This window comes from Homo sapiens, chromosome 8 (genome assembly GCF_000001405.40).
Source record: "Homo sapiens chromosome 8, GRCh38.p14 Primary Assembly".
Lineage (NCBI taxonomy): Eukaryota > Metazoa > Chordata > Mammalia > Primates > Hominidae > Homo > Homo sapiens.
In genome coordinates this window covers 90,979,861-91,006,136 of record NC_000008.11, presented here as the reverse complement: position 1 = coordinate 91,006,136, position 26,276 = coordinate 90,979,861, and the positions used below count along the sequence as shown (strand labels likewise).

Genomic DNA, 26,276 nt, shown 5'->3' with positions numbered 1-26,276 from the left:
AGACAGAATTTTTTTTCTTTAAACACAAATATCCTAAAATTAGTTTTAAGTTACAGAAGTTGGTAAATTTATTACTGTGAAACAAGTGTGTTATGTGCTTTTATCTCACAAAATGTATGGGGAAAGCTTCCCCTAGAGCTCCAAAGACTGAGGGGCATTTTCTCATATTGCTGTTTCTTACTCGAATGGTAGCTGGTACTATGGTAGCTAAAGGTGATGTTGTTCTTTTAATTAGGTGGCTTGTGGCCACTGCCAGACTGAAGGTGTACTTGTAGCATTCTGAAATACAGTTTGGACTATGTTTCCATGCAAATGTTATAATGGACCTATGACTAGTAGAGACATTGATTTAATCCATGACAATTATCATTGAATATCATTTCTTTTACATCACTGATGTACTTTTGTGAATCACCTCCTGCCATTTTAAACAATAGTGGGCTTATTCTCAAGTGTTATCCATTTATTTTGCCATCTAGTGTTATATTTTATAATTATTCATTAATTCAACAAACAATTCTGTGCTAAGTACTGATTGCTTGAAATAAAAGATATAATCTTGCCTTCAAGGAATTTAGTCTTGTGGGCATAGTGGGGAGAATAGTTAATTACTATAAAGTTTTAAGTGCTTTGAAAGAGGTATGACCAGAATGCTCTGCTTTGAAGAGTCCCTAATCCAGATTAGAGGGAAAGGGATCTTGAGTGAAGGTTTTCAGGAGGGAGTGATATATGAACTAAGTTATAAAAGATGAGTGAGAATTGTGTGAAAAAGAGGGTGCACTGTAGAAGGAGCTACCTGTGCAAAGGTACAAAGGAGTCAGAGTATAGATGTACTAGTAAGGAAATGGAATGGATAGGACTGAATGTGAAAGAATGAGAGAGAGAGAGATTGGGATCAAGAATGACCCTATTTCTGAGAGGCTGTAGAACCATTCACTGAGACAGGACATGCAGGATCTAGAAGAAATGTGTCTGGCAGAAGATGATAAATTCATTTTCAACATATTAGATATAGAATAGTAGGTTTGCTAGATTGGTTAATCATCATTCCATCTATCTGCTTTTCAAAGCAGCAATCTTGGATCAATATAGCCATGGCTTCTCCCTTCCTTCACCAAGATAACTGAGAGTTGAAAAAATTCTGTATTCAGTTCTTTACAAATGTATAGATTTGTAATTTATCTAAATTGATCTATATTCCTAAGTGTCCTTGATTGACTTCCCATTTCCCAAAACAGCTATCTCCAGATATCTACTATTCCTCCTAAACCCCCACCTCAGTACCCCCAACTCTCCAGGTCTCATCCAATGAATTGCCTCCTATCTCTGAAATAATTGAGGCTATCTGTGAATTCTCTCATTTTTGTATTTCATACTCGTAAACCTGTCTTTATCCATGCTCACTTCATTTCCTCTTCTCAGAGGGATGCATGTCTCTTCTTTCCAAGGCTTATACCTTCATTTGATTATTGCACCCCATTCTCTTTGGAATAAGGCACAATTAGCTATCCATCCCCAGTGGGCCACTGAATTTGCTCTAATGAAATTCACATCCCAATAATAAATTCCATATTTTGATTCTCATCCTGCTTGTTTTCTCTGTAGCATTTGATACTATTGATCATCCTGGGTGTGCTGATTAATTTTAGGTGTCAACTTGACTGGATTAAGGAATGTCTAAAGAAATGGTAAAGCATTACTTCTGGATATGTGTGAGAGGGTGTTTCTAGAGGAGACAGTGGACTGAATGGAGAAGATCTGCCCTCAATGTGAGTGGACACCATCCAATTCGCTGGGGGCCCAATAGAAAAAAAAAAAGCAGTGGAAAGGCAATTTTCACTCTTCTGGAACTTGGACACTCTTTTCCTGCCCTTGAACATCAGAACTCCAGGCCCTCTGACCTTTGGACTCTGGGACGTACACCAGTGGTCCCTCAGCTCCGCAGACCTTCCTCCTCAGACTGAGAATTACGCCATTGGCTTCCCTGATTCTGAGGCTTTTGGACTTAGACTGAGCCACACTGCCAACAGTCCAGGGACTCTTACAGATCCCCTGTTGCAAGACTTCTCAGCCTCTATAATCACAGTAGCCAATTTCCTTGATAAATTGCCTCTTATCTATTTCATCTATCTATCTATCTATCTATCTATCTATCTATCTATCTATCTATCTATCTATCTATCTATCTCCTGTTGGTTCTGGCTTTCTGGAGAACCCTGACTAATACAATGGTTTCTTTTCCTTAAAGTTTGTTTTCTTGGTTTCCAGATACTGCTTTCTCCTGGGTTTCTCCTACTTCTCACAACTCTTCTTTGTTGGCTTTACTTTCTCTTCCAAGTTGTTAAATTTTGCTATTTTCCAAAGTTGGAACTTGACCGCACTTTATCCGGGTTTTCTCTTATGTTCCTATGTCATTTAGATGCCATTAAATGACCCCAGATATTTCTTTGGAGCTTCAGATTTAAATATACTATCTCTATTCACTATCTAGCCTAGAATTATTTCAACTTGATATCTCATGGTCATTTCAAGCACAACCTGACCCAGCATTCCCACCTTACTCTGCAAACCAATCTCCCATGTGTATTGATAAATATATTATGTTTTTCTTTTTCACCCCCTACATTATTTCTAGAAAAAGAATATATTATTTTAATGAATGTTATCCTGTCTGTCCAACTGACCAACCAAGAAATATTAGTGTATTTTTTATCATTCTCCATATTTAAATGGTAATATCCTATCAATTATGTCCCTTGACATTTTAATTCTGTCCTCTTATTCTCATGATTTCTACTTCAGTTCATGTATTCAGCATCTCTCACCAGGACTATTGCATTGGTTTTCTAATTTATCTCTTGACCTCCAATACTGCAATTATCTATTCATTTACTAGAGTGGTAGTTCCTAAATGCATACGTCATTTTAGATTCTCTGGCATCAAATCTTTTAGTGGCTCCCAATTTCTTAGCCATGGCATACAGTTGTGCAAGTTGTATGCTGCACAACCCGAAGAGGTACAATTTCCATTGTTATTTTAGGTTTGTATATTTAGTTTCATATAAATTATTCTGAGGACTTCTTTTACTTATTGGCATAAATGTACCATATGGTTTACTATCAGCCCATTGCCTAAAATCCAAAATCAAACTCCAAACTTCTTTTAGTCTTTGCCTAACTTTTCTAGGGATATCTTTGTTTTCTTCTGTCTCTACACACACAACCTAGTTATTTCCTAGCCCCAACAAATTGCACTTCTACTTCCACAAACATATTATGCAGTTTCTTTCTTCTGTTCCTGAGTCTTATCCTGCTAGACCTAGAATGGCCTGGCTACTCCTTTCCTTGCCCTTGTCTACCTAGAAAACACCTATTTAACCTAAAAAATTAGCTGAAACATCCCTTGCTTCTACTCTTCATCTGTAGAAACATTCTGTGGCACAAAGGTTATTCTGCTGCTTATTCCTTGAACAAATTTTCTTTTCACACCTGAACAATTCTAATGTAATCAGCTGAAATGACTTACTCCCCCATCTATTCACATTTTAAGCTATCCTTAAGTCTTGTGTAATAAAGCCATCCCTGGCTGCCTTGTCTGAAAATTGTAATGTAAAGAACATTGTTTGCCGCCTTTTCCCCTTATAAATTCCTGTAGCACTAGCTACACTACCATTTTCCAGGTGTTCTTCATAATCCTAGTGTTTCATAAGGTGTTTTTGTGAAGCGAAAGATTAATAATTTGAAGAGTGAATAGTTAGATGTTTGAGAGCATTGAATGGTCTTTTCAGCTTGGAGATTCACTGTCCACATTTTTGTATATGCCCTTGACTTTCACATGCAGTAATATAAAAAACCAATTAGCTGTAAAAATCATCCTTTTAAATGCATAGCTCAGCTCATATGACAGTTGGGGACCAAAAATGAAGATTAAGTGACAACCAGGACTATCCTGAAGGTATATGCCAACACTAGGGATCTACAGCCTTGGAAGAATGAGAGAGAAGGCATTGGCCTCACACAAGGTAGCGGGGTTAGAATACTGCCTCCTCCCAATAAAGTACTTAAAGTACTCTTCCCCTGGAAAAGAGTGAGTTAGGAAAAAGAAATCAACCAGAAAAGGAAGATTGCAGAGGAAAAAATTTATAAGAACAGTGAATTTAGGTTTATATTTTTATATCACTTATGCGATCTAGGAAAACCTAGTTCCAGAAACTGACTTAAAGTTTAGGGTTAGTATCAGTCTAGGGAGCCTGCGAAAAGCAAATGAAAGTTCTGTATGTAGGAAAGCACCCCCAAACTATGCATGCCAAAATTTTTTTATATTGAGATCTGCCAAAATAAGTTTTCAACAAAAGTTACTAGTCATAGGAGAAAACAAGATTCCAGAAGCATAATCAACATTGACAACAAACAGCATAATTAGACCTCTAAAAACTTCAGATTTATAATTATTAAATATGGAGTATGTTAAAACTATGCCTAAGATGTTTTAAAATAAAAATAAGAGAAAACATGTAAGACTATTTAAAAATTACCAGGTACTCACAGAAATGTATATGTGAGTGTTTGTAGCAAATTTGACACATGCAACAGCTTGGATGAATTGAATTTATGCTGAGTAAAAAAAAAAACTTAGCCATACAAGGTTACCTGCAGTAAGATTTCATTTATGTAACATTTTTCAAATGACAAAATTGTAGAAATAGGGAACAGATTAATGATGGTGTGGCAGGCACAGGGTGCGGGATGGGCAGAAAGGAGGGTGTGGTTATAAAAGGATCCTTACAGTGATAGACTGTTCTCTATTTTAGCTGTGGCAATAGATACATGAACCTAAACGTGATAAAATTGCATAAAATTAAAGAAAAATCCATACTCATATACCTGAGAAATCTGAATATTGGTGGATTATATGAATGTTAATATCCTGTTTATAATATTGTATTATAATTTGCAAGATTTACTATGGGGGAAATAGGGCAAAACGTACATGGTATTTTTATGTGTTATTTATTACAACTGCTTGTGAATCTATAATTGTCTCAAATAGAAATTTGCAAAAAATAACCAGATAGATATAGAAAGAAACAATAGAACTTCTAGAAATTATTACAGAAATTAAAATGCACGTACGGTTTAAAGAACAGATCAGCTAAAGGTGAAGACTAAAGTTGTGAATTGGAAGATAGAGGTAAGTGAATTACCCAGAATCTAGCATAGAGAGACAAAGATGAATGTAAGATTAAGAGAAAATATATTATTAAGATGCCAATTATATATCTGATCTGGAAGGAACAAATAAAGAATGGGATATGGCATTTTAGGAGATAATCTCAAATAATTTTCAGATCTATGAAAGATATGAATTTTTATATTCAAAAAGAACAATGAAATCCAAGCAGGATAAGTAAATGTGTTACAGTGAAATTGTAGAAAACCTAAGAGAAATAGAAGGTAATTAAAAGCAGAGAGACAAAAGGCATATTTTCAATAAGAAAAAGATAACAGTTCTGTCAGCAAATGTCTCAACAGCAAAAATAGAAGCCAGAAAACAAGTTTTAAAATACATCAAAAATACTAAGAGAAATTAACTGTCAAACTGGTATTATACACCTATCTAAACCATCAAAGAATAATGAAGGTAAAATAAGTATATTTTCAAAAGCAAAACCAACAAACTTACAAACAAAACCCAGGGTATCTACCATCCTGGTACCCTTACTAAAAAAAAAAAAAACTGCTAAATGATGAACTAGGGAATATGAACAAATATTCCAGAAGAAATTTCTGCAGTGCAGGAAGGAAAGGTAAACCAAGAAATTGTAACAATTCACCAGAAACACTGACTGTATAAAATAGCCAAAACGACAGTACCAATTATATTAATGCTAATAAGTTTTGAGAAACAAAAATACAATAAAACTGAAATATTGGAAAACAGTAGCATTAAGATGCTAGTGGAATGTTTGGTGTTAAAACTTTCTAAAATCTTTATATTTATCAGGAAGATGGATTTAATAATTGACTTTAGTTTTTAAAACATATGAAAGTTAAAATTTTAAGTGCAACTGCCAAATGAATGAAATAAATTGTAAAACTTTCAGAATAATAAGAGGAAAATGAAATGAAAGAGTCATGGTCAATATAAAAGAAGTCTGGAAATAAAGGTAGAAAAGCAGAAAATACAGGAATAGTAGAAAGCCAAAATAAGGTGTCAGAAATAGTCCATGTATATCATTAGACTAATCTTGCTAGTAAAACTTAACAGTAATGGTAAGACTAGATGTAAGAACAGCTATATACAATTTGAGGAAGGAACACATGAATATTAGAACATAGAATGAATGTATAAGGATAGAAAAAGATACAACCATAAATCACTAACCAAAGGAAAAGACATACCAGGCAAACACTAGCCAACATTAAAATGTAATGTTAATATCAATTAAAATAACAGAGACTGCTGTTTTCTCCTTCCTTTTATTAGTAGACCTCTGAATTTGACTAGCCACTCAGCTAGAGATGGATTTCCTAGCCTGTCTTGCAGATAGTGTGGCCATCTTTAAGTTAGGACCAATGGAATGTGAACAAAAGTGATGAGTACAGTTTTCTGATACTCTCCTTAAAGACAAAATTGCCTGTCTTCGTTTTTTCTCTCCTCTTTGAATTGAGTGGAAAAGCCAACTGGCAGGAATGTTGTTACCTGTGTAGAGTTTGGCAATACCAATCAGGGAGTACAGCTGACTACCAACCCTAGGCTGTACATTTACCTTTAAGTTTTATCTGCTAGAAAAATAAACTTATTTTTAAACTTCTGTATTCTGAATTTCTGAATGTTACGTTCCTTTCTCTCTACAACCTCACCAGCATCTGTTATTTTTTGACTTTTTAGTAGTATTAATTCTGACTGGTGGGAGATGGTATCTCATTGTGGTTTTTATTTGCATTTCTCTAATGATCAGTGATGTTGAGCTTCTTTTCATAGAATTGTTGGCTGCATGTATATCTTCTTTTGAAAAGTGTCTGTTCATGTCCTTTGCCCACTTTTTAATGGGCTGGTTTTTTTTTCTTGTTTAAGTTCTTATAGATGCTGGATGTTAGACCTTTGTCAGATGCATAGTTTGCAAAATTTTTCTCCCATTCTGTAGGTTGTCTGTTCACCCTGTTGATAGTTTCCTTTGATGTGCAAAAGCTCTTTAGTTTAATTAGATATCATTTGTTCATTTTTGCTTTTGTTGCAGTTTCTTTTGGTGTCATCATCATGAAATCTTTGCCTGTTCCTATATCCAGAATGGCATTGCCTAGGTTGTCCTCCAGGCAACCTATATAACTATAAATGTTATAGTTTACATTTAAGTCTTTAATCCATCTTGAGTTAATTTTTAAATTTGGTATGAGGAAGGAGTCCAGTTTCAATGTTCTGCATATGGCTAGCCAGTTATTCCAGCACCATTTATTGAATAGGGAATCCTTTCCCCATTGCTTGTTTTTGTCAGGTTTGTTGAAGATCAGATAGTTGTACGTTTGTAAGTGTGTGGCCTTATTTCTGGGTTCTCTATTCCGTTCAATTGATCTGTGTGTCTGTTTTTGTACCAGTAATATATATTGCATGTAGATACCACATATGTACTAAATATGTAAGAGATTTTATGATTAATAAGTGCTTGTTGGTCATTGCCTTATCCTGTGAGGAGATGGCACTTGAGTTGTGGAGTAGCAGTAGGTTATTTTTTTCAGAGAAGATTTCTCAGATGTAGTGACTATTTAATTTGAGTGATGAAAAGAGAGCACAGGTTTTCTAAGCAGAATTCATGCACTGAAATTAATGTACTAAAGTGTATTCTCTTGGCTCACAGAAAAGCCGCTCTAATATTCACTTAGAAACTTTTGACTTATTCAGTACATAATTTTAATAAGCTTAGTTGGCTTCTAATAAATGGTATATTACAAACTGCCAAATGCAGATGCACAGGCAGTGATAAGAAACAACAACCAGATGTGATGTATAAGGCAAGAAAAACCACCAGTGGATGCATAGAAATTAAAACCAAAAATAGACTAGGGCTAAATGTTACATAAAAGCAATGAATCCTGCATGCCCTAGTAACTCTAGATAGCAAGCTGTACAATATAGTAATTAATGGTGGTCCCCAGGTCATCCAGATGTTTGTGTTTGGGCTCAAGTACCCAGGAAAATTTACGATGTATATTTGCAAAAAACTTCATCAGTTTTTCAAAAAGATTTGGAAATTAAAGGAAATAATTTTGTATGCAAAATTAACCTATTTGGAATCACATGTTTCTAAATCATGCCTAGTAAGTGATGAATTTCTGTATTTTACTTATTCATCAGACATTCTTTGAGAGGTTATTATGTGTTAGGCATAATCTTGACACTGGCCACACAAAGGTGAATCAGATACTTCTGTGTCATTCACTAACACGATGCCTTGCATATGGTATATAGTAATAAATATATGTACGTTAAGACAGAGAAGAAAGTGCTAATTTGGCTACTAATCTCTGCTATAACTTATATCATTTTGAAAATTACCACAATTAGATACAGAGAGGGTGAATACTATTAGATTTGGAATTTCAATTGAGTAGCACAGTAGAGGGCTTTTAGCAGTATGTATTAAAAACAATTCAAAAAGTTTAATCCCTTTAATTTGTAATCCTAATTCTAAATTTAAAAATCTTAAGAATGATTAAAAATAAGCACAATGCTTTTAAATGATACTTTGTTGGCATTATGTATAATAATGAAGATACTTTAATGTACAATAGTAGAAAATTTTTTAATTATGTTATATTCATCCATCAGAATTTTAGTTTGAGAATATTATGGGAAAAAGTTCATGCTATATATTGGTAAGGTACAAAATTGGCTACAGGAAAGTATGCAAAAATACTGAGTGACTATTTTATGATATTGGGATTATAGGTAATTTTTTCTTTCCTTTTTCTTCATTGTTTCTTTCCTTTTTATTCTACTTTCTAAATTTTTTACATAAACACATACTCTTTTAACTGTAAAAAAATCAAATGCTATTTGTAAGATAGCTGTTTTTCCATTCTGAAATAGATTTTTTTGGAAATAAACTTTTATCTTGGGAGATTAGTAGGTACTACAATGGATTTCTGTGGATATTATCAATGACCAAGGCTTGAACTTTGTTTAAAGCCACAATAATATCACAAATTCACCCTGAACGATTTTGTCACCCATTAAAAATGACATGTTTAATGCATGTTCTTGTCTGTAAAGTTGAAGCAATGAATAAAAAGTATATAATATTACTAAAGCCATAGATAAGAACTCACAAAAATGAAATAGAGAATTTTTATGTAAATACTTAATGTTCTCTTTTGCTTTCATGAATTTGCAGCTCCTCAGTGGGTAGTGCACTTCCACGAAGACGCTGCTGTGCATATATTACCATTGGAATGATATGTATTTTCATTGGAGTTGGGTTAACTGTGAGTGTTACACTTTGATGTTAGAATTCTGTCCTCTCAACTTTATCAGTAGTCAATCATGAGGCCTGGGACAACCTTCAGGGATTCCTGAAGAGGCTGCCTCCTTGGCATGCCAGCACTAGAAGCTTCTGAATGATTATGAGCAATCAGAAACCCAATCCATGGACCTCTTTTTGATTGAACTCGCCCATCCAAGTGAAACGGTGTCTTTTTACCTCCAAAAGTCCTTACTGTTGGGGATTTTATCATCTATTTAGCAAAAGCCCATTTAAAAAAAAATCAGTGCCAGAACTAATTTTTATGGCTATGGGGTCTCTTATTATTCAAAGCAATATTCATTCAGCTACAGAGATCTAAAAAAACCACTCTTCTCTTTATCCAAATCAAGCAGAGATTTATTACCAATATGAGGATGGCTTGTTTTTAGAGAAGACTGGAGCTAAGCAGTTAGCATGGGGATTATGCCAGAAGAGGAAGATAATCTCTTTGGCTGCCATTTCCATGCTCCTTTGTTTGTCAGTACAACTAGTCCCTTATTATTAGCAATGTCCTATTGTGTCCCATGATAGTAAGAAGTTACATGGATTAAATTCCTTGTAGAGATAATATAGTTTAGTGTGCTTTTTTGTTTACTTCATAACATTTATAGTTACTACAAGTAGCAGTATGGTCTATCAGTTGCAGTCAACAGATACACCTACTCTTATAAGGACTTTGTGTATTCGGTCTGGGGGTATATTTCATAACAATCACATGTAAGCTGATACAAGTTCCCTAAGCAGATATTTTTTAAAGTTTCTAATATTTTGTTTTTATATTGCTTTTTATTTTAGGTTGGCACCCCAGATTTTGCAAGGCGATTTCGAGCAACCTATGTTTCTTGGGCAATTGCTTATCTCCTAGGATTGATCTGCCTTATCCGAGCTTGTTATTGGGGAGCCATAAGAGTCAGTTATCCAGAACACAGTTTTGCATAAGCTTGTTTATGATTCAGTAATGCAGGTGAGAGTGTCTAGCAGTTCTTGGTAAGCTACTCTGGACATCTTTAAATTATTTATCCTAATGGATTCCATTCTGGTTTATGTATAATCGTTTCAAGACTTTGGGAGTCTTTTATGAACAAATGCTCATTGCACTATATTATATGCAAATTGTTTTGCTGCTAGGTTTTCAAAATTTGAATAATAAAGCCTTTTCATGTTCTTTTACATCTCTTATAGATATTTTTGGATTTGTTACCAAACATTACATTTACTCTCACCCTTTTATTATTTTTAAATAAGTTATTTCATTACTTGCTGATACATGAGTATTCCTAAGTGTTTATAAATATTTCTATAATAGTTTCACATTTATATTTACATTTTAATTAAACAGTATCAAAATTGCTTGCTTAAAACCTAAGCAATATGCATTTTGCTTGAACTGCTTACTGTAACTTTAACCTAAGATTATAGTGACCTTATTCAGGAAAAAAAAAAAAATTTAGTGTAACTTCAAAGACTTGACATTCTTGTCAGAGGAAAAAAAATTTCTAGATACTGTTTGCTTGTTTTTTGTTGTTTGTAGAAAGATAAAATATTTTGGTAGTAATTTAAAATACAAGAACGAATATTTATTTGTCCACAGTTGGAGATGTTGGATAAATGTCTTTTCTCAAAGATCACAGGACTTTTGTCTTTCATTTTTGCCTTTTTATTTACCATTTATAAAAGATCTGGTCTGGATTATGGAATTTAATGTTTATCAGCTCTATGTATTCCTTTATAGAGGCTTGAGGAAGTATTTCACATAACATGTTTTATAATACTTAACCATTTATCCAAAGATATATTTACATTGGGTTGTGCCCCTTTCCCTTAGATCATGGTAAATTTTTCTTATTGAGGTAATTATGTACTACTTATATTTGAAGGAAGCTTATGACATTTTACAGTAGCTAAAATGTTGAGATTAGAGGTACTTTTACTATTCTTCTCAAAGGTAACTGATCAGATAATTACCCAAATTATTCAAGAAAATAGATCAGAAATAAAGAACAACATAATTTTCTAAGAATTCATTGAAATTTATGGAATCAGCTCTCGCACTGCCCATCTTTGCAGTTTTGAAAAAGAAATTGCTTAATCACAAATGTTCTACAGTCTTTAAATGTAGTAGAATTAGACAGTGAGATCATCTGAGTAAATTGATTGGTGATTCCAGAGATAAGACTAATATTTTAAATTATTTATGATACTGATTAGTATAAAAACGTACTCATCACAGAATTTGAAGCAAAATACATGTACACTTCAAAGAGTAAATGACAAATGTATAAATGCTGTAGCTCAGGATTATATGTACCTTTAAAAATACACTAATAAAGATTATTGTTCAAAAATTACCTTGTTTTATTCCATTAAAAATAATGTCACTTCCAGAGTTGCCTTGAAATCTTGCTGTAAAGTTTTCATGTTTAGGAATGTACCTGTTTCTTTATATAATATTCATTTATGTTTTTTGTACTATTTTCAAATGGTTTTATTTTTAAAATATAGTTTTTAAATCCATTTGTAATACACTTGATGTTAGGTATAAAATAATCTTACTTCTTTTCCTAATGGTTAACTAGTTGTAACAGCATTGTATACTGAATAATCCATTCTTTCCCTCATTGATTGGAAAGCTCACATTAAATTATATGCTATGTCATATTCCTTCTGGAATAATAACTTTATGAGAGCAAGAACCCTGGTAGTCTTGTTCACAGCTTTATCCCCACTTAGAACAGTTCTTAGTGTACATGTGCTCAATTTACGTGAATGAATATGCATGAATGAATAAATGGTTGAATGAATTGCTATTTTAAATTCTTATATACACTTGAATATGTACTTTATATTTTGTACCAGAATGTATAGGTAAGTATTTGTATAACCTTGGGTTAAGAAAAAAACGTTCTAAGTAGAACTTAAAAGAAGAAATTATATAGGAAAGGATTGATACAATGAAACAACAACAACAAAATCCCCAAAATACTTCTGTATGATAAAAACCCTTAAGCAAAGCCAAAAGACAAACTGGTGAAGCTATTTTCAAAATAGGAGAAAGACTGTAATATCAGAAGGGACTAACGGTATGAAAAAGCAATTCACAAAATGACTACAATAGGTCATAAACTGTTTTTCGATTTTTCTTTTTTTTTAGACAGGGTCTCACTCTGTCACTTAGTCTGGAGTGCAGTGGTGTGATCTCGGCTCACTGCAGCTTCCACTCCCCTGGCTCAAGCCATCCTCCCACCTCAGCCTTCCAAGTAGCTGGGATCACAGCATGCGCCACTATGCTGGGCTTTTTTTTTTTTTTTTTTTTTTGGATTTTTTGTAGAGATGGGGTTTCGCTATGTTGCCTAGGCTGGTCTGGAACTCCTAAGCTCAAGCGATATGCCCAGCTCGCCCCCCGAAAGTGCTGGGATTACAGGTGTGAGTCACCGCACCCAGATCCCAATTTTCTAATATTTGAAGAATGTAAGTTAAAACAAAGAGATACTATTTTTCACTTACCATATTAACAAAGAAGTAGAAATTACAATAATACCCCTGTAATGCTGAGGACATTGGAAACACACACACACACACGCACACACACACACCACATATTCTTTGATCTAGTAATTCTCTAAGAATTTATCCTAAAGGTATTGTCAATTTTCTAATAAAGAGTAAAAATATAGTCCAATAATCCAATAACATGAGATTGATGAAATAAATTATGGCACACCTATACAATGAAATAGCAGACAATCAAGAATATGACAAAAAATTTCATCTATTGAATTGGAAATGGCTCGCAAATTGTGTGATACATAGAATATGATCCACATTTTAGAAAATGTATTTTATGTGTACATACTGAAAAAAACTAAGGAAAATAAACCAAAAATATTAGGAGTGGTTATCTCTGGGTGAAGAGAGAGAAATTATTTTTACTTTATTTTTGAACTAGATTGTTGGAAAGTAGGTTTTACTCTTGATGAATAGATAATAGTAGTATATGATGATTACATCAATATTTGTTAATTTTCATTTTGATTCTTGAAAAGTTTTAAAATGAGTTTATTAAAATCCAAACCAATGACGGTCATTGATAAAACCTTAAGCTTTAAAGTCAGAGAATATATATTTAAGCTTAGCCCTATGTGAGTTACCTAAAATTTTTAATTAATTAAATTCAAATTTATGAAACTTTATACTCAGTGTTGTCTTTTGTTATTTTGTTTTGTTTTGCTTTTTTAAGTAGAGCATGTCTTCCAGTGCCTAGGGAGCATAGAAAATAACTGGGAAGAGGTTATTTGAAAGAATACACCATAGCCATGAATCAGAAAAGGAATGATGTGTTTGTCCCTTGCTGTTCAAAGTAGCAAAAATTGCCTTAGTTCTTCTTAGAAAAGAGAAAAATGGCACCATGACCAGGTATTCTTGAACAAGTCATTTGTGAGTACATATATGTTATTTTAGAAGAAAAAAGGAAACTTGATATGTGCCAAGTAGAGTGCTAACCTCACAATACATGCTGTTTAAATATTCACAAGAACCTAGGAAGCAAGTACAGCATTCTTGTTTCTATTTTACCAGAGGAAATTGAACTGCTGCTCCCACAGATCTGAAAAAGTAGATGCTGAGTAGGACAGGAATCTGCATTCAAAACAATCACTCCCTCATGATTCTATTGGAGATTTTTCCTGGATCACACCTGGAGAAGAAGAAACACTACTACACCATGTAGAAAATATTATTACGTGTTTATATCCACTTTGGCATTCATATTTTCACATACAGAAAAATGCTGTGATTTATTTTATTTTATTTTTTTCCCATAAGTTATTGGGGTACAGGTGGTATTTGGTTACATGAGTAAGTTCTTTAGTGGTGATTTATGAGATATTGGTGCACCTTTTGTTTAGCTTTTGTTTAGTTTTGATATGGCTATACCTGCACTCATATGCTATGATAAACCTCTACAGCCATTTCCCTGTTTATGATCTGCATAAATTGCTATAAAATCTAAGTTTTCATTTATTCAATGTATGTTTCTGGTATGCTCATACATACATATGTAATAAGCAATGAAGACAAAAGCCCTAGTGTTTATGTAGCCACCTTACGTATGTTAACATTTAGTCTGTCACAGTTATTATTCTACCATTGAAGAGGCTAAGACAGATTCAATAATTAAAGGTCACTTAGCTTATATGTGAGGAAGCCAGATGGAATCAGTCTGTCTGCTTCTGAAATGTGTCTGCTTTCCACTACATAAGGTTTTATTATTTCACTTTGTAGTGAAAAACTTTTGATTTTTGTGCCCTCTGCTGTTCATTGTCTGTAGGTCATCTGTAGAAAGAGAATTATTAGAAAATATTTGCCCAAAATAGTCATTTCAAAAGCATAGAATAATTTAAAATTTTTAATGAATTTGATATTATATCCAACTACATTAATTTTAGAGCATTTTGATTTATGTAGCAAAATATTATTACATGTATTTTCTTTTTTATAATTAGCATAAAATTATAGGAAGGCTAAGTAAAAATATTTTTTTTTTCTTTTTTTTTTTTTGAAAAAAGGTCTCACTCTGTCAGCCAGGCTGGAGTGCAGAAGCAGAATCTCAGGGCTGACTGCAGACTCAACCTCTCGATCACTACAGTCTCGGTCTCTGGGACTCAAGAAGTCCTTCCACTTTGACCCCCTGAATAACCGGGACTACAGGTGCACCGCCATGCCCGGATAGTTTTTTTTTTTCTTTTCTGTATTTGTAGACAAGTGGCTTCGCCATGTTGCCCAGGCTGGAATGGAACTCCTGAGCTTAAGCGATCCGCCTGCCTCGGCCTCCCAAAGTGCTGCTGGGATTAAAGGCATATGCACCCAGTCAGAAGTATTTTCTATTAAATATGAGGAAATTGACATGCGATGAGTTTTAAATAACAATTGTATTTTCTTTTTCTTGTAATTGCAATATTTATGAAAATGATTTGTTAGCACAAAATGCTAATAAAAATTTGTACAGGCTTTTAATTTTAAAATTTGTTTTACATATGCAGTTACACATTTAAATAAATACTATGTTCTTTATATTTTGCTAAACATGCATATGTTTGACTTGAAGTGGAATATTAGATTAAAAACAGAGAAATAAAGAGCCTATTTGTTTTCTTTTGGGGACGGCCTCACAGAGTAAGGATCAGATCAGGCCAAAGATTTAAGAAGTAGGTCTAGTTTGTAATACAGTAAATGAGAGTCTTTGATCTAACAGTCTTTTCAATTTTGTAACTAAGAGTTATTTAAGGTAACTTATTAAATAGGAAGTGATCGCACACATTGCTCTTATGAAATTTTGAATGCCCTGGGTGGCCTGTTGATAGGTGTAGGTAATAATGGTAGGATATACAGAGTTATGGAAAAGTTCCCAGTGTTCCAATAAATTTTTCTGAAAAACCTTGCCTCAGTATCTCATATTTCCACATGAGATATACCTTTGGCTTAAGATAGTGGACATTTAAATAATCTTGAAAATGCATTACATTTTTTATTTTTTTAATTATTTTATTTTATTTATTTACATTTTTAAGAAGGAGTCTCACTCTGTTGCCCAGGCTGCAGTGCAGTGGCGCAATCTCGGCTCACTGCAAGCTCCGCCTCCCAGGTTCATGCCATTCTCCTGCCTCAGCCTCCTGAGTAGCTGGGACTACAGGCGCTCGCCACCATGGCCAGCTAATTTTTTTGTATTTTTAGTAGAGACGGGGTTTCACTGTGTTAGCCAGGATGGTCCTGCCCTCCTGACCACGTGATCCGTCCATCTCGGCCTCCCAAAGTGCTGGGATTACAGGCGTGAGCCACTGCACCTGGCCAAAATGCATTAAGTTTTTATTAGTTATTAAGCCTCAAGAAAGAGTTTAGGAAACGTGGAGAATTCCCTAGCTTATGTAAGGCCATGTGTTTTTTTTTTCTGGTTTCTTCCTATGTACCTGCCTAACTCCTTTATAAACTTTCCCTTCTACCTACCATCCGCCATCCACAGATCTCCTTTAACTCCCTCCTCACCAATGCAGACTTCAGTACCTGGTTTTTATTCTTATCACATGCCACTGATTTAAATGTCAATGTGAATGGCTTATCTAATACTGCAGTCTGGACTCACAGTTCTTCGTCAAGTCTAATGACCTTTATTTTCCTTTCACTTCTGGTATTCACCTCTACAGCGGCATGCTGGGTGGTTATACTCAGAACCACTCCATCTCAACTCTCACACTCAGTTATCCCACTGTCTGAAAATACACCTCTTTGAAAATATACCTCTTCTGTCCGGAAGTCTCACACTGTGAGGACTTCAGGTTTATTATTCTTTCAATTTATCATCCCTTCCTTTATTTGCCAATGAATCTCACAACCACGCAGGTAAATGCCTTTATAAATTTCTGATCTTCACCTTCAGCTGACTCCTCAACAGTGTTCACCTGTTTTCAGGTGAACATTCCCCAGAAATGCTATCTCAAAATTTGAAAGTCCTACTGCTTTCCACAGTAGACCCCTTCCACTTATACTGGATAATCTCTACTTCACCTATTCTTGCTTTTGTCCCTTCCCTTCACCTACAATCTAGATCCCATTCTCTTGTGCCTCCTCAGGCAAATCACAGTATCTTTTTATTTTTTTCCTGTATCGCTCTGGGTGCGCAAGTCAATAACTGGCATCACTATTTTCCACTTTCCACTCTCACACTCTACACTGTTAGCAGTTTTCCTTATTCTCTCAGCTATGTGTACTTTTCTTTCCTTATGGTCACTATCTACCTTTACTTATGGCTCTCAATAAACATTGCCTGGATTACTGTAAACCTCTGAACCGATTCCTCTGCCTCTCTTCTTGTCTTGCCTGATGCCTACTCTGCTTCCCAATCCATTTTTCATGTTGTCATTTAAGTAATTTTTTCCCAAATGGTCATAGAATACTATTAAACCCAAACTAAAATCCTTCAGTGTCTCTCCATATCCTTATAAAGGAGATAAAAGACACTTCATCTTTTATTAGCCTAATATCAAGCCACTACCAGGCAGTCTCTTGTATTTTGTGTTTCTGCAGTACTGAATTACTGATGTTTTATTTTATTGGCTGCTGCTCTATTCCTGTATATCTCTGGGCTTGTTCTTTCACCTGCAAGGAATACCCTTTTCTAAGTGGGTAAATGTTTTATCCTTAAAAATCCTGCTCAGGCATTACCTCCCCTGTGAACCCTTTCGTGATGTCTCTTCTCCATCCTCCTACCGTTCAACAGAAGTATGCCTTTCCATGTAGTCCTTCTTTTATTCCACGTAAACATTTCTACTACATATACTATCTTCTATTTCATATATAGGCACTATTATTAAGCTAGCGTTCTCTTCTTGCTAATTTTGCATCAGCCTTTCTCATCATATTTCAGTTTTTCTTTGTAACCTCAGTGTGTATCAGCCTTTCTCGTCGTATTTCAGTTTGTCTTTGTATCCTCAGTTTCTAGCACATAAACATAGGTCTTCAAAACCTTTGCTGAGCTGAACTGAGCTGAATGAAACTAAGTCATTATTATAGCTTTTAACACAGGGGTTTCTAACCACTGCCCTCCCCCAGACCCCAGACTGGTACTGGTCATTGGCCTGTTAGGAAACAAGCCACACAGCAGGAGGTGAGTGGCAGGTGAGTGACTGAAGCTTCATCTGCATTTACAGCCCCTCCCCATTGCTGGCATTACTGCCTGAGCTCTGCTGCCTGTCAGATCAACAGTGGCCCATAGGAGTGTGAACCCTATTGTAAACTGCACATGCGAGGGATCTAGGTCGTGTGCTCCTTATAAGAATCTAATGCCTGATGATCTGAGGTGAAACAGTTTCATCCCAAAACCATACCCCGCCCTTCCAGTCATCCACGAAACCAGCCCCTGGTGCTAACAATGTTGGGGACCACTGTTTTAACACATTCCTATAATAATTATGAGCATCTGTGTTGTGTGTTTGTTAGTGTATCCTTCATAAAATGCTTCGTAAATGTTTGAGGAATAAATGAATAAAAGGCGACTATTGGCAGGAGGTTGGCAAGGAAATCATTTGGTAAACATGAGATAATGCTACCTCTTCAGCTTTCTGAGTTGCCAGGCTTTCAGTGGCACCACCCAGATTTAACAATTAATTTACTGAGTTGAAATTGTCTGTTTGCATATCTGCACCCTCACTAAACAGCACATACCATGAGATCAAGTAACCAGTTTGTATGTGTGTGTGTGTAGTTCTAGGTACTGTGAAAGTGGAGTTAAATAAAATATGAAAATATAAGTTTAAATAAAACCTCTACTTATAAGTAGTAAGACACATTATAAATTATTATCCTTCTAACTGGGATATCTATTTCCACTGTTGCTTTTTCTCAATCCATTCTCCAATTCTTTGAGTGGCCAGAGCAGGGCAGGAAGCAGGGATGGGGGGCGGTGACCAAAGTAAATATTTACTTAGAATAAGAAAATCAGTGACAACAAATTACAGATTTTTAAAAAGATGATAAATACCACAAATATTTTAGAAATTCAGTAAAATGATATTTTAAATTAACTACCTGAACCATTGCTATGTTTTTCCTATATTTTTAGTTTTCATTTTTTTATTGCCTCATCATTTGACAGTAATTTTGTAATGCACTTTCCCTGGTGATAATGAATAATGTGGTAGTCTTTTCAAAGCAAAGTTAGTCAACATGTATTTTTTGTTATTGAAAGCTTAAAAAAGTTATTGCAGTTTCACAATTTGTTATTGGTAATAATGCCAATTTTTAGTATTGCTAAATTTGGGGAAACTCATCTTAAGGTTCTTAGGTGAACTCTGTGATTTCAGGGCACTTCAAGTTTTCTCAGGCAGTGACTAACCTTTAAGTTGCTAAAAGTCATTAACCTGTTTGTTGTCAAGTTCTTGTTGTAAAGGTATGAATTCTAGATTATCCTTGTAGATGCCAAAATTTTATGTCATTATCAATAAGATTTTGAAAAGTTTCGATATGTTTATATGGTTCATTTTTCTTCCTCAATTATCAAAAAATCAAGGAGTCTGTCTAGTCTAATTTCTCTCTTCCTCTCAATAAATTACTAATACTGATCTGAATTGGAATTCTTCCAATTTACATTTTTGTCACAATAGTTTCTACTGACTTCATACAGTGATATGCACAAAATAATTTTATTGTAAGATGTATATAAAATTATACATGCTTCATTGTTAAGTATATTCCTGAAGAAGAAAACTTCTGTTGTGACTAGATGGATGAGAACCACATCCTGCACTTAAGATTTTCTACATCTGGTGGTTGGAATATATTGATTCCACTGTGCAGACTTCTGGTGCCTCACCCCAAGGGATGCCCTTTTATCATGACCCATCTCTGACCCTGGACCCTAGGTCTCTGATGCCAGGCGAGTTGTCTCAGTGGATAGTAGGAGTGTTTCTGGAAGCCATTTCTAAACGGAGACAGCTCCAATAACTTGACTATACATGGAAGTGCTTGTGAAACTTCATACCTTCCAAAATGGTAAATCCTGATAGTGCCCCACTTAAAACCGTTCAGTGTTTGCCAGTGCATTTTCAACTGTCCTTTTGGTGCTTGGGGACGTGAGGGACTGCCACCTCCACGTCCCTCAGTACAAGCAGACAGTCCCCCTCTGGGGACACTCAAAGATAATGAAAAATTAGCAAAAGGATTGAAGGTGAAGATTAAAAAGAAATGATTCGGATGGAGTTGCCTTAATTCATTTTGTTCCTTTCAGGATGGCAGTCTGTGTGAAACGCTGTATCCCTGGTCTGAGGTAAACCAGGTCTCAAACATCTTCCTCCCTGCCAACCCGAATCCCGACACCCACTAAATGCACCAAGGGGAAAGCAGCGCCTGCCAGCAGCTCTGACGGGGGACAGGAGTAGGGTGGACTCAGTCGTCAGCACGACGGCGGCCTCCCTCACAGAGGCGGCCTCCCTCACAGACGCTGCCTGGAACCCGCCGCCAAGCCCCCAGCAGGCGGCCCGCCTGGCGCCTCCCAGTCTTCGCACAAGCAGGGCCACGGTCTGGGGCCCCCAAGGCCGTTCACGCGGGCGCGCCCCGTCGAGGGCTAGCCTGTCAGCGCCTCACTCGCGGCCTCCTACCCTAGACGACCGGCTCTGGGTGGCGCCGCTCCAACCCCACGCGCCCAGCTCGCCCGGGAAAGCGCGCGCCACCCTTTTAACGGTTCTACCCCGGCAGGGGTGCGGCTGCTCTCGAGGCTCAGCGCCCGAGGCCACGCCCCGCGCCCGCCCTGGGCCCGCCTCGTGCCCCTCGGAGCCGCCTCCCGCCCCGCCCCCCGCCCCTCGCCCCCCGCCCCTCGCCCCCCGCCGCCGCCACCGCGGTCAGCCAGCGGACCAGCGGCAGGAGCCGTTCCCCGACGGGCAGCAGGGCGCTCGGCCTCCGCGTGTGGGCTGAGCGCGGCGACGCTGCTGCCCCGAAATCCCCGTGGATTTTGAGTCGGTAAGTGGCTAGGGAGGATGAGCGACACTGGGGGACGGAAGTCGGGCCCCGTGGTGTGGAGGAGGCGGGTGGGCGCCGTCTCCCAGGCCCGACCCCGGGAAAGTTGAGGCGAGGAAGAGAAGCTCTGAGGTGGGTCGGGAAATCTCTCAGGGCCCCTTCAGTACCCTGTGGACCCTGAATGGGAGTGGGATGGGAGCGAGAGCGTCGGATGAGGGGAAAGAAAGTGTAGGGGGCCAGGGGAGCCCGACGGAGGGGCAAGTGGCCGAGACCAAAGCCATCGCCAAAAAAGGAGCTAAGTACACAGCTCCCCTTGGCTCTGCCCCAGCACCTGGTGCCAGGCGGTGGGAGGCTTTCAAGACGATTTGCCCCCTCCACCCGGTGGCACAAGGTTTTCATTGCTGGTGTTTTAGTCAAAGCTACGGAAAGGACAGTTACATGACTAAAGTAATCACAGACACCTATTACCTGGACAGCTTTAGCCCATCCGAATGTTAAATTGTGTTTTGTTTTGAGAAATCCCTCAAATAGACCAAAAAAAAAATTAAATTAGTTATAAAGAGAAGGCATGAAATGGAAGATATGTTGGAACTCTCCAAGCTTCTAGTTTTTTGATATTTTCGTTTTAATTTTTCCTTAATAGTGCAACCAGATATATGGAACGTGAAATGTCTTTCACCACTTGAGTCATAGGTGGTTTATTTCTTACTCCCCGATGTTTCCTGTATGTTTCTCTTCATCTATCATTTTGTCAGTGTGAGCAGTTTACTTACAAGCAGTATTGGGTTTCAAGGAATCCTAACTTTGTAATGTTTTGAAGTTGGAAATTGAGATGAAATTTTATCTGGTTATCATATGGGAATTATACACAAGGTAAATTCAAATATGGTCTTTTCATTTCATTATTTCACTTTATATGATCTTATTTCTCAACGGCAGCGGTAGCATCAGTACTTTCCAAAGAAGACTAGAATTTATATTGGAGTTTAAGTATAGTACTCAGCTTCTAAAAACAGTGCATAGTATATTTCATATGCTGTGATCTATGGTTAGTATGGCAGTATACCATGTCTGTAGCGTGAGGAAAGCACAGTACTCCCTAATTTATTTAGTATTCTAAGAAAAATGGTAAATTGAAGAAATGGATATTATTAGCATATACCAATTTATTCTGCATGGCCTTATAAATAAATGTTACTTTTCACATTAATTTTTAAATCTATACACGCAGTGTCCACATGTAATAAATGGACAGTCAGATATCTTTCTTTTATGTAACAAATAGGCAAGTTTTGATATAAAGGTGTGAACTTTGTAGTCAAATCCTAATATCTAGCACTTAGTAGCTATGTGGACTTGGGCATGTCTCTTATTTTTCTGAGCCTCAGGTTTCTTATCTGTGAAGTGGGACTAATAATAATTTTCTTCCACCGTTCATATATGGCTCAAAATTAAATGAAATTATATTTAGTATGTAGTAGGACCTTAAAAAGGCATCTTAATTAAAAAATAAGATTAATAAGATTTTGGCCAAAGTGGTCAATGTATCTGCTTATTATCCCATTGTATTTTAGACAATTCTAGGTTTACTGGTAATATCAGGACTGATAAGGCCTGAAGATTCATACTTAGGTAAATTTTTTAAAAAGAAAAGGAACCTAAGATATAGTTAGTATTGCCAGGTGTAGAATAGCAACTGTAAATAACTAACTGATTTACCAATATTCTATTCATACAACTTGGTCTTTAAAGATGATTTGTTAAGTGTGTGTGATCTTGAAAAAAACTATTCAGCAACCATTTCTCAGTATGTATTAATAGAAAGTTTTTTTGGAGACATTGGATCAAAATATCCTTTAAAAAACATTTATACCACAAAACTATACATTTACATTTTTAAATTTACATTTTACAACCTTATGATAGGCCCACTACTTGCTACCCAATGTTGTAGGCAGAATTCTGTTTATTTTGTAACTGTGCTTTGAATCGTTGATATGATACATGGCTACTCTAGGTAGCACCAGTAGCTTCAAGGGAAACTTTTTGATCTCTACATTCCATGGATGAAGCAGGCATTAGAGTTTAAGACTGAATTTGTTTTGTATAATGACTTTGTAGTGCAGTTAAGTCTTTATTATTTTTAACTAAACTGAGAATTAGGTTTTGGTTTATGGAGTTCTGCCTTAATTATAATCTCGTGACTCAGTTTTACAATAATAATTACTTTTTATAAATACTTAACCTTTTTCATTAATAACATGATGGTGGAATGTACTATGCATTGTAATCCCAAACTTGTCCCCTATAATGTCAGTGTTTCCCTGCAGGCATCGTTTACTTTAAAAAAAAATATTAAACAGAGTACTGAATGACACCATCTTTTCTAATTTCCTTAACTGATGTGGATTTATATACAGGGAGCCATTGCTGTATCTTTCCTACTGTAAATTGAAGGGTAGGTGGCACCAAAAGAGCTTTGATTTTTTGTTTATTTACTTGTGTTGCAAAGTCATATAATGGAGTTCTGTAATCCCCAACTCTTGAAAATCCCTAGTTTGAATACTGTGGATTTGCCTTGCTCAGCGATTGGAAAAGACTTAACAACCTACAACTAAATTTCAGCTGAGCAATGAAAAACAACGAAGTGTGTGCCAAAGTACTCTATCCTATTGTATTCTGATTCACTAGTTTCATATGGGGAACAGGATGGAAAGTTACTACATACTAGTATTAGGGTCTTAACTAAAATAGCTAGGATAAACATCAAATAAAGCAATGTATATTAGGTTGCTTTTTGGTCCTTATTTTAAATATACTCTTCTACATAGAAAATATTAATAACTTTATTTGAAGTATTTTTTCTATTTGTGCTTATAACTTTTTTTTCATCTTGTTATATCCAATTGTATTGCACAAAAAGTACAGAGAGCATTAGTTTTGCCACGTTGAAATACTAGCTAACAGACACATTACAAAGCTGGGTTGGTATTAACTTGAAGTACTTGCTGGGTTATCTCCAAATAGTAACTTTTGGGTGCTTACTTATCATTCCTAATTTTGAGAGGTTGTTTATAAGTTTATAATTTTAACATTTGAATTATACATGTCCAAAGATATTTAAAAAATAGGATAAAGCATTTCTGGGAACTTAAAGGGTTACTAACTCTATCTTATACTTGGTGAAATAGGCACTTAGACTTATGATTTGCTTAATATCATATGGTTACAATTATTTCTGGATAAGCAGGTGCAAAATCAAGTGGAGTTTTATTTTTGACTTTGTCTTGATGGGCATCAAAATTTGGAAATCTTGTGTCCCATACAGGTGTCAGATTTTAGTTGCAATGACGAGGTACTTAGCGTTTATAGAGTTTATTTAATAAATCTATGTTGCAGATACTAGAATACAAAAATAAATAAGGTCTGGTTTTTGTGGCCTCAACTAACTGATAGTCCAATAAGTAGACATGTAATATATTTACTGTGATATATTTTAGAAAAAGTGATAAAATACAGTAGGGACCAGTGAAGGAGGAATGTAAGGAAGGAGGAATTATTATTATTGTTATTATTATTTTATTATTAGAGAACTTCATGTAGACTATTTTATTTAACCTTACCTGTTGAGACAGGGGGATATTTTCCAAGGAAGTGGCAAGAGCTTGATCTTGGTCTTGACAGATAAATAGCTGTTTGGAAGAAGAGCAGCAGAGATAGTAAGGGAACTATAGACAAAACACTTGAATGTCCAAATATATGGTGAAACAAAATAACATTAATATTTTGGAAGTAGCGTGAACAGAAATTAAAGACTGATTTTGGAATCAGAGGCTCTAATTTAGCCCATCAAATTGAAGGCAGTTTTACCAAGTGTGGTCCAAGGGAGTTGGTGATGACTTTAAAGGAATACAGGAGTTAAAGTTATTAATTAGATTTTAGATATGTTGAATTTGAGGTACCTGTGATAATATATAAATTGAAATATTATTAGACAATTAGAAAAATAGAACTGGAGTTTAAAAGAGAAGTAGATTCTGGAAGTATAAATTAGGGCATATTTATCATGTAGATAGGAGGTTGCAGCCGTGAGCATAGATGAGTTTTAGCTAAGAAGACCAAAGCCAAATTCGGAAGAAAGACAGAAGAAGAGGAATCAGCTAAGGAAGTTAGAAGAGACAATCGAAGAAATAGGAAACAAACCAAAAGAACATAGCTGGGGCAACATAGTGAGACCCCATCTTTAAAAAAAATATATTAGCTGGGCATGGTGGTTCATGCCTGTAATCCCAGCTATTTGGAAGGCTAAGGCAGGAGGATCTCTTGAGCCCAGGAGCTTTAAGTTGAAGTGAGCTATGATTGTGCCACTGCAGTCCAGCCTGGGTGACAGAGTGAGACTCTGCCTCAAAAGAAAAGAAAAACAGAAATATAGAGTCAGTAAAGTTAAAGAAAATGTTTCAAAGAGGGAATGTTTAACTGTGACAAATGCTATAAAAGGAGTCTGAGTATTGCATATTAAATGCTTTTTTGTGTTTGTGTTTTCCACTTTAACTTGTAAAATAGGCATCTTAAAAAAAGATGTAGTTATTTGTATACATGTAAAGCATCTTGATTATTTTGTCCAAAAGATAAAAATGTATTTTTTTGTCTTCTAGTATGGAACCTCAAAGTCTTTGTGACAATGGAAACCAAAAAATTAATTGGTAAACCGCTTCAACCAGCAAGACCTGTTCGTCATCTGACTTCTCCCCCAGGTGAGTAATAGATTGTACAGTTCTTTAAATATTAATGTGTTAATGACTAATTAGTATTTGAAAAGCTAAATAATATATAAAGTATTGTTTCAGGTGGATATTTAAAGAAATAATGAAAACTAAGAGTTTGTATTACTGAAGGAGAAAGATTCTTAATTACCTACCAATCTATAATCTACCAGACCAACAAAAGTAGGAAGAATAACCCTTGACTGAAAGTAACTTTCTGTGTGTGTGTTTTTTCTCATGTCTCATTTTTGTAGGCTTCTGGCTTCTGGTCAGAGTGATACTCCCAGTACAAACTGTGCCCTGTGATTATGATAACTGCAGGGCAATCATGCTGGAGAGAGAATTTAACCTTTTAAAAGAATAAGTACGTAACTAAATGCCAAAAAAAAAATATTAGCACAAATCTTAAAGGTTCTGTAGTAGTTGTGTCATACTTGTGCTCTGATAGAGGTTATGGCTGTGTTTGAACTAGAACAGGTCTAATTTCAAAATA

At 35.8% G+C, this 26,276-nt stretch overlaps 2 protein-coding genes across 3 annotated transcripts in view, besides 1 other annotated feature; both read left to right on the top strand.

Moving 5' to 3' along the window:
* The window catches only part of PIP4P2 (phosphatidylinositol-4,5-bisphosphate 4-phosphatase 2), a 47,058-nt gene extending 34,723 nt beyond the window's left edge, over nt 1–12,335 (top strand). Inside the window, exons 6-7 of the mRNA NM_018710.3 lie at nt 9,393–9,483; nt 10,317–12,335. Coding sequence (NP_061180.1) covers nt 9,393–9,483; nt 10,317–10,460 — 235 coding nt within the window. The 3' untranslated portion in view covers nt 10,461–12,335. The remainder of the gene's footprint in view (nt 1–9,392; nt 9,484–10,316) is intronic.
* Nucleotides 20,716–20,875: a silencer, noted in NCBI's record as "silent region_19354". NCBI's record gives its function as "represses an Ori minimal core promoter by ATAC-STARR-seq in GM12878 lymphoblastoid cells {active_cell/tissue: GM12878}" and the evidence as "EXISTENCE:reporter gene assay evidence [ECO:0000049][PMID:35858748]".
* The window catches only part of C8orf88 (chromosome 8 open reading frame 88), a 26,923-nt gene continuing 21,390 nt past the window's right edge, over nt 20,744–26,276 (top strand). Inside the window, exons 1-2 of one of the 2 annotated variants that reach the window (NM_001363275.2) lie at nt 20,744–21,152; nt 25,676–25,774. In NM_001363275.2, the coding sequence (NP_001350204.1) occupies nt 25,702–25,774 (73 nt within the window). In that variant the 5' untranslated portion in view covers nt 20,744–21,152; nt 25,676–25,701. The remainder of the gene's footprint in view (nt 21,153–25,675; nt 25,775–26,276) is intronic. The other variant, NM_001190972.2, reaches the window with a different exon arrangement.